At 54.9% G+C, this 13,876-nt stretch overlaps 1 protein-coding gene across 4 annotated transcripts in view, besides 6 other annotated features; it reads left to right on the plus strand.

Annotated features, from left to right (window-relative positions):
• Positions 5,362–6,279: an enhancer, noted in NCBI's record as "H3K4me1 hESC enhancer chr3:52344635-52345552 (GRCh37/hg19 assembly coordinates)". NCBI's record gives its function as "activates a minimal SCP1, AML or CMV promoter by ChIP-STARR-seq in primed H9 embryonic stem cells {active_cell/tissue: H9 hESC(primed)}" and the evidence as "EXISTENCE:reporter gene assay evidence [ECO:0000049][PMID:30033119]".
• The window catches only part of DNAH1 (dynein axonemal heavy chain 1), an 89,573-nt gene continuing 81,359 nt past the window's right edge, over positions 5,663–13,876 (plus strand). For 3 of the 4 annotated variants that reach the window (XM_017006129.2, XM_017006131.2, XM_017006130.2), the window contains exons 1-2: positions 5,663–10,777; positions 11,198–11,288. The gene's annotated coding sequence lies outside the window, so the exon portion shown is untranslated. Of the gene's footprint in view, positions 10,778–11,061; positions 11,289–13,876 lie in introns of those variants that run through there. The other variant, NM_015512.5, reaches the window with a different exon arrangement.
• Positions 5,777–5,936: an enhancer, noted in NCBI's record as "active region_19939". NCBI's record gives its function as "activates an Ori minimal core promoter by ATAC-STARR-seq in GM12878 lymphoblastoid cells {active_cell/tissue: GM12878}" and the evidence as "EXISTENCE:reporter gene assay evidence [ECO:0000049][PMID:35858748]".
• Positions 8,560–8,759: an enhancer, noted in NCBI's record as "active region_19940". NCBI's record gives its function as "activates an Ori minimal core promoter by ATAC-STARR-seq in GM12878 lymphoblastoid cells {active_cell/tissue: GM12878}" and the evidence as "EXISTENCE:reporter gene assay evidence [ECO:0000049][PMID:35858748]".
• Positions 11,576–12,514: an enhancer, noted in NCBI's record as "H3K27ac-H3K4me1 hESC enhancer chr3:52350849-52351787 (GRCh37/hg19 assembly coordinates)". NCBI's record gives its function as "activates a minimal SCP1, AML or CMV promoter by ChIP-STARR-seq in primed H9 embryonic stem cells {active_cell/tissue: H9 hESC(primed)}" and the evidence as "EXISTENCE:reporter gene assay evidence [ECO:0000049][PMID:30033119]".
• Positions 11,576–12,682: a biological region, named in NCBI's record as "H3K27ac-H3K4me1 hESC enhancer GRCh37_chr3:52350849-52351787".
• Positions 12,453–12,682: a silencer, noted in NCBI's record as "silent region_14439". NCBI's record gives its function as "represses an Ori minimal core promoter by ATAC-STARR-seq in GM12878 lymphoblastoid cells {active_cell/tissue: GM12878}" and the evidence as "EXISTENCE:reporter gene assay evidence [ECO:0000049][PMID:35858748]".

Consider the following 13,876-nt stretch of genomic DNA (forward strand, 5'->3'; position numbering starts at 1 on the left):
AGCCCTGAGATGGGACCTACAGCTGGGGGACCTCATGTACCTACCCACCCTCCTTCCTTCATCAAATGTTTGCTATGTGCTGACTCTAGGCCAGCCACCTTGGGATTGGCTACTGGGGCAGGAATGGGGAGCAATGAGCAGGCAGAGATGAAGGCCAGCACCTCCAGAGGCTCATGTCCTTAGAGTCCAGACAGACACAGGCCCAAGGAGTTCTCTCCAAAGAGTAGGCAGAGATAAATCTCAGGAAGAGCCAAGGCCAAGGGCCAAGTCAAGCTCACTAGTTCAAACAGGTGGTGGTCCCCACCCACTCCCTCACTGGTCAGAAGTCTGGGGGCAGGCCAGATTTCCGTTGGCAAATGATAGGAAAAGGGCATTCCAGGTGGTTGGACCGTGTGAGCAGAGGCTGGGGGCCAGGACGTAGGATTCAAGAATACTATGCTCTGGCCTGAGGTATTTGGGTGGGCTCTGGGCAGCTCAAGGAAGGGGCTGGGGACTCTAATCACTTGTGAAAAAGTCAAGGCATTCCTCTAACACCCATTTAGCAAAAAGTTCCTACAGTGTGCCAGGCATGTGGTTTATAGGTTGGGGATTCAGTAGGGATCAAAACAGATGACGTTCAAGGGAGACAGAGACACAGCATTTTCAGATGCTAACAGGTACCACGGAGAAGATTCTAACATGGTGATCTAGGAGGCGATCTAACAGGGCTAGGGCCTAGGAGGAGACTTTAGGGCGTGGGGCCAGAGAAGGCTGCAATGATGTTTAAGCCAAGATCTGAGTGATCCAAAGGTCAGGGGGAAGAGCATTCCAGGCAGAAGGAGTAGGCAGTGTAGAGGCCCTGAGGCCTGTGAGGTCCTGAAGGGCAGCCCACGTCAATGGGGCAAGGAGAAGGGAAAGGAGGTGGATGGGACCAGCGAGGCAGGTGGGGCTCTGTCGGTTGGGCTAAGGCCTGTGGACTTTATTCTAAGTGCCATGGGAAGTCATTGGATTTTGAACTAGGGAGTGGTTTTTTCCCTTAAATCACTGTGACAGCCTCATGGAGACCAGATTGTGGAGGCTCCATGAAGACCAAGGGAGACACTGTCGAGATGAGAGAGGATGGTGGCCAGGATTGGGTGCTTGCTGGGAGGTGGTGGGAAGCTGGCATTTGGGGATGTTATTTGGAGGCAGAGCCAACAGGACTTCAGGAAGGGTTGGCTGTAGGGTGTGAGAGAGGGTTGTCCAGGGCAGTTCTTCAGTTTCTGGCTTAAGCACATGAGCAAATGGCATGGCCATTTTCAGAAGAGGGGGATGCTGGGAAAAGCAGACCAGGGAGAGGGAAATCAAGGGTTCTGGGTTGTCTGTGTTAGGACTGGGACTCCTGGGGCTGGATAGGGCTGGAGGTGCCAAGGGAAACAGTTGTCAGATATAAGCCTAGAGTTCCAGAGAGGGGGTTGCCCCAGAGATTGATCCATCTTTAGCATAGAGATGTATTTTGCTTACACAAGGGACAGGGTACCCCTCCAGCCCCAGGAACCCAGAGATTCAAATGAGCCATTGATCTGGAGCCATTGATCAATGAGCCATTGATCTGGAGGCCCCAGCAGGGTCAAGGCCAGCAGGGGCCAGCAGGGAAGGACCCTGCTCTTGAAGCCTCCCCCATATCTGTCTAGTGAACCAAGACCACCTCACCCCACCCCAAAGCTAGAGAAGTTGATGATGTAAACTTGGCTTTCAGGAGCCAAGGCCCAACTGGGGGTGGAAGGTGCTGCCGTAGGGACCCTGGAGGCCAGCTGTCTAAGTGATCCTCTGCTTATCCTAGCCTGGCCTGGCCTGGTGTGAAAGAGTCTAGACTCCACCCTGACAGGACCCCGTCATGGCTTAAAGTGCTCCTTCAAAGGGCCTGAGAGCCATTCACGTCCATTGCCACCAGTTAGCTGTGTGTCCTCAGGCAAGCCCTTCATCTCTCTGTGCCTTCCCATTATAGGCAGTTGGAAGAGTAACTCTCTGAGCCCATGTCCTCCCCTGTCAGAGGTCTGTGAATGCAAAAGCTAGCCAGGTCATGCCTGTTACACCCCCAACTGAGCAAAGTGTGGCTTCAGCCCCAGCTCAGACGGGGCAGTGGGAATGATGGGAGGCTGGAGCTGGGTGGGCTGCTGTTCTTGCAGCGTGGCCCGTGGCCCCTGCCTCACCCATCCTCCTGTGATTCTCAGCTCTTTGGGGCCCGCCCCAGGCAGACAGGCATCACCTCCTGAGTGTCTCTTCTTCAGGGAGAGGAGGTGGTTGCCACCGCCACCGCCAAAGCCATCCTCCGGGTCCTGTGCTCCTCCATGCCAAGCACATTAGGGGATAATTAAGTAAAAATAGGCATTCCGACCAGTGTAGCTCATTAAGGCCTAATTAAGTTAATTAGTTCCAGGTGTGGATGGCGAGGCTCAAGTGAGGCGGCGGCTGTTGTTTGCTGTAATTGCATTTTCGCAGCAGCAGTGATGGTGACAGTAATGGTGTGGCAGAGACAGCGGCTTTCTCTGAGGCCTGGAAGCCCGCCAGGAAGTTCAGGAGGCTGTCGCTGAGCTGGGAGGGGTACGAGGAAGCCAGGGGCCACACAGAGAGAGTGGTGACTGGAGGTTCAAGGTCTCCCAGGCCCAGGGAGGCCCTGCTCCGTCTCTGTGTGGGGGAGGTTTTGTGTATATGTGTGTGTGTGTGTGTGTGTGTGTGTGTGTGTGTGCACAAAGCCACAAAGAGGCATCTTCCCCTCTGGTTGAGTAGGGGAGGTGCACTGTGGCTGGTCTTTTGGCCTTGGGCTCAGTTCCCTCACACCCCATCACAGTCCCCAGGAAAGACTTTAAAGTGACTTTGCTAAAAGGGAATCTGTGGGCCAGAGGGAGTGGGAAAGACCTCTAGGAATCTGCCTCACTCACTCTATTTGGCTTGAATCCCCCATTCCTGTCCCTTCTGGCAGGTGCATGGATCTTAAGCTGTCGCCTCTTTGTGATTCAGGGCAGGAGTGGGGGCTACGCAAGTCCAGGCCTCCACAGAGGACCTGTTGGCTCAGTTAGTCTCCTGACCCAAACGTCTCCCTCAGTCCACTTTCTGTCATGGCTTCTGGACTCAGCTGTCCTTGGGGACCTGCCTGTGTGGGACAGCCCTCTCAGCCTCAGTCACACTCACATTCATACATTCATGCTTGCATGCATTCAGCTGTTGCTCACTGAACATCTCCTCTGTGCCAGGCAGCAGGACCAGGGGATGGGAATATAGGCTGGGCAAGACAGGTTGGACTCTGTCCCATGGCACCTTTGGTCTCTCCAAGGAGGCAGACATGTTAATGACTCTGGCCACACAATTTTGCCATGGCTGTGGGCACCTAGGGGTGTTTAACCCAGTCCTGGGAGGAAAGATGTCCAATCTGCAGTGAATGTGATGCAGGAGACAGGGGGACAGGGTGTGTGTCAGGAACTGAAAGGGCTTCCCTCTGGCTGGAGGACAGCATGAGGGCACTGAGTGGGGAGAGTGGGGCCAGATCAGGGAGGACTGTGGGGCTGCTGGGTAGAAAATGAACTGGCACTGGTGACTGGGAGGCGAGGGAGGAGGTGGCCAGGGCTGCATCTGTGGATCCAGAGAGGAGTGGATAGATTTGAGGGATATTTAGGAGGAGAACCGATGGGGCTTGCTGCACTGGTTGGGTGTAAGGGATGGGGTAGGAGGAGGCTGTCAGCCTTGCAGAGAGGGGCCTTGGGAGTGGGGTTGGGCTCTGAGATGTCCCCACAGGCTGGGACTAGGATGAGACAAGGGAAGTGCCTGGGGTGAAAAATTGGGGGAATTCGCTACCAGCCTTGTGTTCCCCCTTGTGCCTCTCTCAGGTGTCCTGAAATTTCTCGCTAAGAAAGACACATCTTGGAAAGTGGAAGCCGCCCCTGGAGATGGGACAATGGGGGCATAGTTCTCAGCAGGGTGTGCCCCCTGGGCACTTCAACCCCTACCTGGGAGGTGCTGTCTTCTCTATACCTTCCAGCACTGGGCTGGGGCCAGGATTGACACCTTAGGGCTCATTTGCTCCTGATAGGTACTCTCTTTCCATTCAGGTGTCCAAATGACAGGAAAGGTGCCCATTCAGCTTCCCCTGTCATGCCTCCCATGACAGGGAGCTCCTGCCATCTGGGCAGCCCAGTCCTTTGGTTGGGACCATTATAAAAATATTGTATCATGAGCCCAAATCTGTCTTCTTCCAACAGTTGACTCAGCCCTGCCTCCTACCCTCCCCTACTACCCAGGCCAAGTCTGCCAATCCCCTTTCCCCGACCAGCTTCACCTCTCAGAGTCTCAGTGTCCCCACCTGCAAAAAGGGAAACAGTAATAGCTACCCCCTTCTAGGATTGGTGTGAGGATTAAATGACATGTGTATAAACCTCATGGCATATGCTAACTTTTCTATTTTATTTTTCAGAGACAGGGTCTAACTGTGTTGCCCAGGCTGGAGTGCAGTGGCATGATCATGGTTCCCTGCAGCCTTGACCTCCTGGGCTCAAGCGATCCTCCCACCTTAGCCTCCCAAATAGCTGGGACTACAGGCATACGCATGTCACCATGCCCAGCTAATTTTAAAAAATTTTTTGTAGAGATGGGGGTCTTGCCATGTTGCCTAGGCTGGCCTCAAACTCCTGGGCTCAAACAGTCTTCCTACCTTGCCTCAAACTCCTGGACTCAACAGTCCTCCTACCTTGGCTTCCCAAAGTGCTGGGATTACAGGTATGAGCCATCACACCTGGCCACATGCTAATTGCTTAGTAACTGGTTCCTAACCCATAGTAAGGATGAATAGCTGCAGAGGTGGACGCTGTGCTCCTTCTGGCTTGGGCTGCCCAGTCATACAGTCTTGTACCACTGGTACATCAATGGTACCCATCTGTTGGCCCCAGGTAGCTGACCCTGCCACCACCCCACTCACATCCGGTGTAGATGGAGAGCTAATCGCAGAGAAGAATGTCCATGGGGAAGAAGTGACATTTTCTTGGGATGGCAAAGCCACAATGACGTGCAGGGTCTGCCCGGCTGGTTATTGAATCAGTTCTCTGCTCAGCCCCAGCCCCTCCCCTCTGGTCCCCCTGCTCCTCAAGTCTCTCATTCAGGGGTACGAGTGGACCTGCCATGCCTGTGAAATGGCCCTGGTGGTGGGAGTCCCTCCTGAGCCTGAGGGCCCCGCTGAGCCCCAGATCCCTTGGAGGGTAGCAGACCCTTTAGAAACGCATCATTGTCTGGGGTGCCCATACTTTTCCCACAAGGCTGCAGGGTGTTGAGGCTGGGGCGAGGGGCTTGCAGGAACCCCTGGCTTCCCTCAAAGATCAGAAGAACCACCCAAGAAAGGACAAAGCCATCCCACTGCCTTTTCCCATGCGTTCCCATCCCAGAGCCTCTGTCTGCAGCAACAAAACTGGCTTCTGCAGTGCTCTCTGCTTCTTCTGTTTCTCTGTTGAAAACCAGCGCTTGTGTCAAGGAGGAATTCTTTAGATTTAAAGGACAGTGGTGACCATCCTCCCCGAGCCCTGGTCACCGGGGACCACCAGGTTCCTGTTGGAGGACAGAGGGCACCACAGGGGAAGGCAACAACAGGGGCAAAGGAATGCCCAGAGCATGGGCAGGGCAGCCATTCAGGCAATGCCGTGTCATGTGGGTGGGCAGGGGCGATGGGTGGGAACAGGGTGGGTGGTGTTTGTGGGATTGACAATGAGCTGGTGTTGTGCAGGGCAGGCCTTACCTCCTTCTCACCCCAACTGAGGGAGGGTTGACTGTTTCTACACACCCCCTTGTTTTTCACACCCGGGACTTGGCCCTAAGGGACTTTCCCAAAGGCACACAGCTGGTGGGGCCTGAGGGAGGATGACGGAGGTGTGGGCCCCCTCACACCCCTGTTGAGTCCTGCTGGCAAGGCTCCTCCCTATGGGGGCACCAGGAGAGAAACAACTGTGAGGCTCAGTTTGTTTGGTTTGGAGGCCTAATACCTTGAGGCCCTGCGCCTCCAGGAGGTCTGGCTCTGCCACTGGCTCACTGTGGGTGTGACCGGGACCGGGGCCTAGCTTTGCCCTATGCCTCAGTTTCCTCAGTTGCACAAAGGAGTTAAGTTCTGGGTTGGCTCATGCTTTTTTGCCTCCCAGGGCAATGGCGCACCCGGGGAGAGGGGTCATCTGCAGTTGCAGTCACAGATGGGAAAATGAGGCCCAGAGATGAGACAGTTTACTCTGGGGCCAGCAGACTCAGTTCTGAGCATGTGGCCAGCAGCCAGGAGAGGAGACTGCAGGGGGAAATGCCAGCAAAGCCCAGCCTTTTTGCATCTCCAGTTTTCTTTAACCTGCCCTCCAGCCCTCCTTTGCCTGAGTTCACAACTCAACCCCAGCTGCGTGTATCCTGACGCAAGGCCCCCTTCCCTCCACCCAGCAATTATGGCTGGTCACAAAAGCTGGACCGTGACCAGACAAAGGGACAGGGATGAAAGTGCTGGTTGTCATGGCAACCTGGTGGGGTTGCTGGGACCCAGGGGAGGGGCTGGCTATGTGCCTGAGCCCAGGCATCAGGACGAGACCTGTGAGCATGAGCCAGGGCAGCCTGACGGCCCACAGGGACCCCCCTCCTGCTCTGGGCCCGCCAAAGCCGGGCATACAATGGCAACCTCAGCCCCTCCATGGGCAGCACCTGCTCCCTGGGCCTCCCCCAGTGGCCCCATTATCCTGCACCTGCTGACCACCGCCCCCCCAACCTGCTTCCCAGCCCAAGCTCCCTCCCCAGGGCAGGCCCTGCCCATCCTCAGGCCCACCTGCCTTCTCTGAGAGCCAGCCAAGAGGGCTGGGGAACCAGGAGGGATAGCAGGGAAGGCCCTGGGCAGGGACCGAGGGTCCAGCTGCCAAGCCAGCTCTGCCTGGCCAGCAGTGTGTGTGCCTGCAAAACAAGGCTTTGCTCCAGGACCTCAGTCTGCTCACCTGAAAACTGGGAGCATCCAATCCTGCCTTCAGGGTCTGCAAGGGCCAGTTTCTCTCTGCTTGGAGGGAGGGCTGAGGCCAGGTTGGGAAGAGAACAGACGGGGGTATCTTGGGTCATATTTTCAGGGCCGCATCTGTTGGACCACATGGAGACCTGAGTCCTTACTGTACACTTCAGAGTCACTGCTTAGGTTTGGAGATGACATTTTCCAGAGGCCTCCAAGGATACAGAGGAAGTGGGCAGGAGACCCAGTATTGCCACGCTTTTTTTTTTTTTTTTTGAGATGGAGTCTCTCTCTGTCACCCAAGCTGGAGCACAGTGCCACGATCTCGGCTCACTGGAACCTCTGTCTCCTGGGTTCAGGCAGTTCTCCTGCCTCAGCCTCCCATGTAGCTGGGACTACAGGGATGTGCCACCACGTCTGGCTAATTTTCGTATTTGTTTTGTTTTGTTTTGTTTTTTGAGACGGAATCTTGTTCTGTCGCCCAGGCTGGAGTGCAGTGGTGCGATCTCGGCTCACTGCAAGCTCCGCCTCCCAGGTTCACACCATTCTCTTGCCTCAGCCTCCCGAGTAGCTGGGACTACAGGCGCCCACCACCACACCTGGCTAATTTTTTGTATTTTTAGTAGAGACGGGGTTTTACTGTGTTAGCCAGGATGGTCTCGATCTCCTGACCTCGTGATCTGCCCGCCTCAGCCTCCCAAAGTGCTGGGATTACAAGTGTGAGCCAGCATGCCCAGCCTAATTTTTGTATTTTTTAGTAGAGACAGGGTTTCACCATGTTGCCCACTGGTCTTGAACTCCCGAACTCAAATGATCCGCCCACCTCGGCCTCCCAAAGTGCTGGGATTACAGGCATGAGCCACCACGCCTCGCCAGTGCCAGGCTCTTGAGTGGCCTATCAGGAGTACTGGGGAAAGAGAAAGACAGTGGGGTGGGTACTCTGCAGGAGGAGAGTGCTCCACAGGGGGCAGCTGGAGGATGGCTGGGGGCCCTGTTGATGGACAGTCCAGTTCTTCCATAAACAGGGAAACTGAGACTCTAGCAACTATCAGTGTCTGGCGCAAAAGGTAGGCCTGCCTGCCAGCTCCCTGATGCCCCACCTCAGGATGGTGGAGTGGAGGAGGGACAAAGAGTGAGAGGAGTGTGAGGCCAGGTAGATGCCCCTCCTCCTCCTGTAAAGGGAAGTGGGATTCTCATGGCAATGGGTCTTTGTCTCATGGTCTTTTCCTTGTGGCTCCCTATATCCTGCAGGACAGCCCCAGGTTCCTGTCCCACTCTGCCATGACTTTGGGTGAGGCCCCTCCTTTCTTGCCACCTCAGTTTGCAGACCCAGAGTATGGGAGCAGATTGCCAAGGAAGTTGTCAGCTCTAACTGCCACCCTAGCTGTTTGAATGTCCCTAGGCCAAAGCAGGCAGGCCATTTGCAAGGGGTGATGGGGAGGAGGGCTGCCCCACCTCTTTGGGAGTGAGGGATTCCATCTCTTTGGAACAAACCCTTCCTTACTGACCTGCTGGGAGTTTTTTACACATTCGCTCCTGGAGGTCTGGCAAGGGCAGTGCTTTTGCCAGGAATGGAAGTATTTGGGGCAGGAAAAGTCTTGGTGTCCCTCACACCACTCTGTACTGATGACCCCACCGTGACACTGGGTAAGGTTTCTGTTCCTCATTGTGCAGAAGAAAAACTGAGGCCTAACAAAGGAAGGGACTTGCCCGGTGAGTCATCAGAATAATCCAGGCCTCCTGCCCCGTCCAGAGCCCTTTCTAGGGGTGGATGAAAGGTCAGGCTGGCAGTCTGGTCCCCAAAGTGGCCAGCCTTGGGGGATGAGTGGATGGGAGGGCTCAGCTAAGCCTCAGCAAACCCAGGCTCCCTGGAAGGTGGGAGTGGGGGCACTTGGTGGGTCACAGGGCCAAGTTGATGAAGTCACCCACTCTGCCAAGATATTACTCCAGCTGACGCTCACCAAACTCCTTGGGACTGAGGAAAAATCAGAGGTGCTCAGAGCCTAATTATAATAAACAGTTTCCTGTGCAGCTCCTGGAGCCCCCCTGGGAAATGTCCTGTGGAAGATGTCTTTGTCTCAGAGCCTGCCATCTGGCGCTTTGGCCCAGGAAGGTGGGGACCAACAGGCATCCCCCCCTTGGGCCGCTGCTCCTGGAGCGCAGAGCCTCAGCATCCTGCACCCTCAGATGGAGGTCAGAGAAAAATAGGCTGGGGGAGAGGAGGTGAGGGTGGGATCATGTGGGGTCATGTGCAACTGGGCTGGTGTCAACAGCCACTATCTTTGAGGTGATGGCCCCGATGTGGGTTGCTCTATCTTCCAGTCATTTCTATGGGTCTTTCCTGGACTGACGCATGGGCAGGGCTGCTGAGAAAAGCTGTGCCTCTGCCCCAGCACCCCCTGACCCCATCCATCAAGTCCACCCTCCAGTTGGGAGAAACAGCAGTGACCATCACATGGTAGGGAGTGAGTCATCTACCAAGTGGTACTGACCATGGTCCTCTGGGGCCCTGAGGAGAGTGTGTGTTCTGTTGGCCAAGGCACTCAGGGAGTGTGTCCTGAGAAGTAGCCCAAGATGGCATGGAAGATCATAGAAAAACAAAGAGGGAAGAGGCTCCGGCAGGGAGGCTGCACAGGAGTAAAGGTGGGCAGGGGATTAGGTGGGGGCTGTGATGGATGAAGATTGTCTGTTCATGGGCCAGTGGTCTTCAGTCCACCAGCCCCGGAGAAACTCTGTTCTACTCCTTGCTTGAGCTCTGGGCTTTCAAGGTCTTGTCTGTCAAGGTGATCATGTGGATCAAAGGAGAATTAAATTTTCTCCATTTTTATTCATCAAAGAAATGATTATGCTGGTCAGAACTGCTGAGGGCAGCTGAGCAATGGCAGGGAGGCTTATGTCGGGGAGGCCTGGGGAGGCAGTGAATCGTAGACCTCACCCATTCCCTTCTCTGACACCCCCCGCCCCCGATGCCTGCAACTCACTTTCTTGTGGCATAGCTCAGAGCTCCAGGCCTAGAAAATCAGAGGAAGATCCTGGGGGCCCAAGAGGGAGGCTGGGGACAGGTGGGGAGCGGGTAGCTCAGCCACTCAGTCTGGATGCCTGTCACCTTCCGTTCTGGCTGGCCAGCCACATGAAGGGCCCATTCTGCTGCCCATTCACAAGGGGCTTTCATCTCTGCAGCCAGTGAAGCATTGCTCCCATCTCAGCCAGCAAGGAGACACAGGGGAGGGGGTGTGCAGACTTGCCATGACCTCAGACTCCATGCTGGAAAGGCATGGCCCTGGGCCAGGGCATCCTAAGCAGCCCATCTGCCCCAATCCCCCAGCTTCCAGGCCACCAGAGTCCTCAGCAAGGGGGATCTGAGTAAGAGATGGGCAGTGACTCCCCAACTCTTGTAGAAACCTAGTCCTCCCATTTCAACAAGGGTAAGGCTGACCTCTCTTCCAGCTTATTCAGGGCAAAAGATGGCCCTCCCATCACAAGAGGGGCAGGAGTCCAGTGGGTCATGGCTCAGCCCCCTGCTCCTTTCCCAGGGAGCAAGGTAAGTATGGTGGCCTTCAGGACAGGGCAGGAAGACCAAAGCCTGAACCCTTGCGCAGCCATGGGAGAAGACAGCACATTAGAGGGTAGCCCCTGAGACCCAGGAGAACAGGGACTGACTCACGGTGTCCTTCCAGGGAGGAGGGAGGCAGTCATATCCACAGCCCGCCCTTGAAGAGGGGCGAAGTGGAGCTGGCAGGGCTGCTGGTAAAAGCAGCACCCCCGACCCCCACCCCTCAAGTCCATTCTCCAGTTGGGAGAAACAGCAGTGACCATCACATGGTAAGCAGTGAGTGGTTCTGTGAGCTGGGCCTCCTGAGAGTGGACCCTTTCAGCTGTGGCCTGTCCATCTGTCCAGCAGCCACAGCCCCTGTGATGTCACCAGCCCACTGTGTTGCTTGGCAACTTTCCAGGATTAGCATTCTGCCCCTCTCATCCCTGACATCCCACCATAGGCTGATGTTGCCATGGCAACCCGGATAGATGCTGCAGCTTTTTGGACAGCTGTACCTAGTGTGGGAAGTGCCAGGCAAAAGCAGGGAAGCAGGTGCCTCTCTACAGGCCAAGGGGGGTACCCAACCTATACGCAGACCCATTGAGCAGCCAGACTGCCCTAAACAGGGCTATGGAGTCCTTGTCCCTTCTAAGAGCTGTGGACACCTTGCCTCCAGTTCCCCTCACAGTCCTTTCTTCCTTCTGCAGTGATCACTGAGTACCTGTGTGAATGCCAACAAGAAAAATAAAACCACAGTTTGGATTCAGGAAAGGTTGCACCACCATCAGGTCTTGAAGGGTGAGTAGGAGTCCGCCAGATGCAGGAGTGGATGGAGACAGGTTCTAGACAGAGGAAGCAGAAGCCTGTGCAAGGGCTGAACCACTGTCTCCAGGCATAGATTACACCCTGCCTCTAGGTTCCTCATGGCCTGGCCTCTCCATCTTTCCCACTCAATACACTTTATGGTGGGGATAGGGTCCAGTTCAGTTCCAGACACTTAGTGCCCAGCAACAGGCCTGGCACCAAGCCAGCACGACTAAAATGCCAAGTAAAATTCAACATCAGGGCCTATGACCTCCCCTAGTACTAACCGTCTCAGCAAGTCTGTTTCCCCATCTGTGAAATGGGGCCAGTTTTGAGAAGGCTGTGGGCAGGGGTTCTCAGGTACAGATGGGGTGATGTTTTTCTTTTGGTTCTTTTGGTTTGTAAACCACTTCTTTCCCTTACAGAAAAAATTGGAAGACTAGTACATGGACATCTGTGACCTTCAGATTCCCTAATTGTTATATTGCAGCACTTTTGCTTTATCTCCTCTTTGTCTTTTTATCTAGCTATGCTTACCTATATGTATAATTTTTGCTGAACCATTTGAAAGGAAATTGTAGCGGACATTCTGACGTGTTTCTTCAAACACTTCAGGCCACGTCAACTAAGGACAGTCTGATACAACCACAGTAGCATTATCACATCTAAGAAAATTAACAATAATTCAATATTCAGAATAGGGCAGGAAGATCAAAACCTGAACCCATGCCAGGTGCTGAGAGCAGATGAGGGGCATCAGAGGGTGGGCGCCCGAGCCGAGGGGTGTCGGGCGCATCCGCTGCCCAGCGGAAGCGGCGGCCTGAGTGGAGTCACCGTGCAATGGGTGGGTGTGGCTTTGTGAGCCAAGCCCCAGGAGAACCAGAACCCACCTTTTCCTCAGTGCCCTGACCAGCTGTCCCGCAGCTGTGGCTTAAATGCCAACTTCCAGTTCGTAAATTTCTTCAATTATTCCTCCCCAAATTATTTACATATGTATATGTATTTAAATCAGGATTTAATCAAAGTTCTCACGCTGCATTTAGCTGTTTCGCTGCTTACTCTAAAAGGGCACAGGAGGGAAGATGGGTGGGTAATGGAGCCTAGAAGAGTGACGCTCCCTGGTCGGCCCTAATCCTGCCGATCGGGGCATATGCTGGAACATCCCAGTCCCACTGTCCTGGGCGGAAGTAACCGAGACCTGGAGTTGGTGGGTAGGTAAGGGTTCAGGCTGGGGAGGTTCGCGGACGGAAGCTCCCGCCCTGCGGTGCCGGATGGCCCCGCCCCTTAGCAACGGCCTAGCGTCCCTCCCTAGAGACGGGGCTGATGCATCCCCGCACTGCTCGGTGGAACCGGTACGTCGGTGAGGCGGAGGGGTTGCGGGGCCAGCGCGGGCAGCGGGACCTCGAAAAGGCGCGGAGGGCGAGTGGACGAGGGTGGGGAATGGGGTCTCCCAGGAGTCTGGTTGCTGAGCCTTGGCCAGGGGGAAAGAAGGGAGGTGCACTTTATTTTATTATTTTTGAGACGGAGTCTCGCTCTGTCGCCCAGGCTGGAGTGCAATGGCGCGATCTCGGCTCACTGCAACCTCCACCTCCCGGGTTCAAGCGATTCTCCAGCCTCAGCCTCCTGAATAGCTGGGATTATACGCACCCGCCATCATGCCGGCTAATTTTTGTGTTTTTGTAGAGACGGGGTTTCACCCTGTTGACCAAGCTGGTCTTAAACTCCTGACCTCGGGTGATCCGCCCGCCTGGGCCCAAGTGTTTGGATTACAGGCGTGAGCCACTGCGCCCGGCCTGGAGGTGCACTTCAAACAGCCTTGCAGTGAAGTCCTGTACTTGCCAGACCAGTTTTTGGGCCCCATCCCCATGCTGAGCACGTGGCAGTCCCATCAGCTACCCAATCCTTCTCCAGATCCCTACCAGAGTTGTTACAGAGGTCAACTTCATTCCTTTCTCCACCTTGCCCATCCATTAGTTCATTTGTTCACACAATCATTCAGCAAGTACTTTCTAGGCACCAGCTGTGTGCCAAGCCCATGCCAGCCTCATGCTAGGTGCTAGGTGCCAAGTTTCCAGAGATCAGCGTTACTTGAAAATGCCTACACAGCTGACAGGAAAAACAGATGTGCACATGTAATACAGGGAGAGGTACACTGGAGGGGAAAGACACAGTTGTGGAGGGCAGTTTGCATCGGGTGAATGCTTCAAAACGGTGGAGAGAACCCCAAGCCTGGGGGAGCAATAACCATTCATGGTGTTGTTTGCCTGGTCGCCCCAAGGGCAGATACTTCCCAAATCCCTTAAAGTCGCAGATCCATTTGTCTGCTTATGCAGAACCCCGGGGTGTGAAATGGATAAAGGTGCAGGATCCTTGTTGAATCGGGTGAGTGGCATAGAAGCCCTCCTGCTTATGTGGCTCCCCACAGGCACCCACTTTGCAGAATCTCAGCACCCGGTTGGAGAACCACTGTTGTGATGCTAGAACATGGATCTTTGGGTCAGCCAGAAGTGAAGACCTCAGTTTCCATTCTGGTTCTGCCAAGTGTTTGGTTGTGTGATCTTTGCAAGTTTCTTTACTTTCCT

The sequence above is a fragment of the Homo sapiens genome, chromosome 3 (assembly GCF_000001405.40).
Source record: "Homo sapiens chromosome 3, GRCh38.p14 Primary Assembly".
NCBI classification, from domain to species: domain Eukaryota; kingdom Metazoa; phylum Chordata; class Mammalia; order Primates; family Hominidae; genus Homo; species Homo sapiens.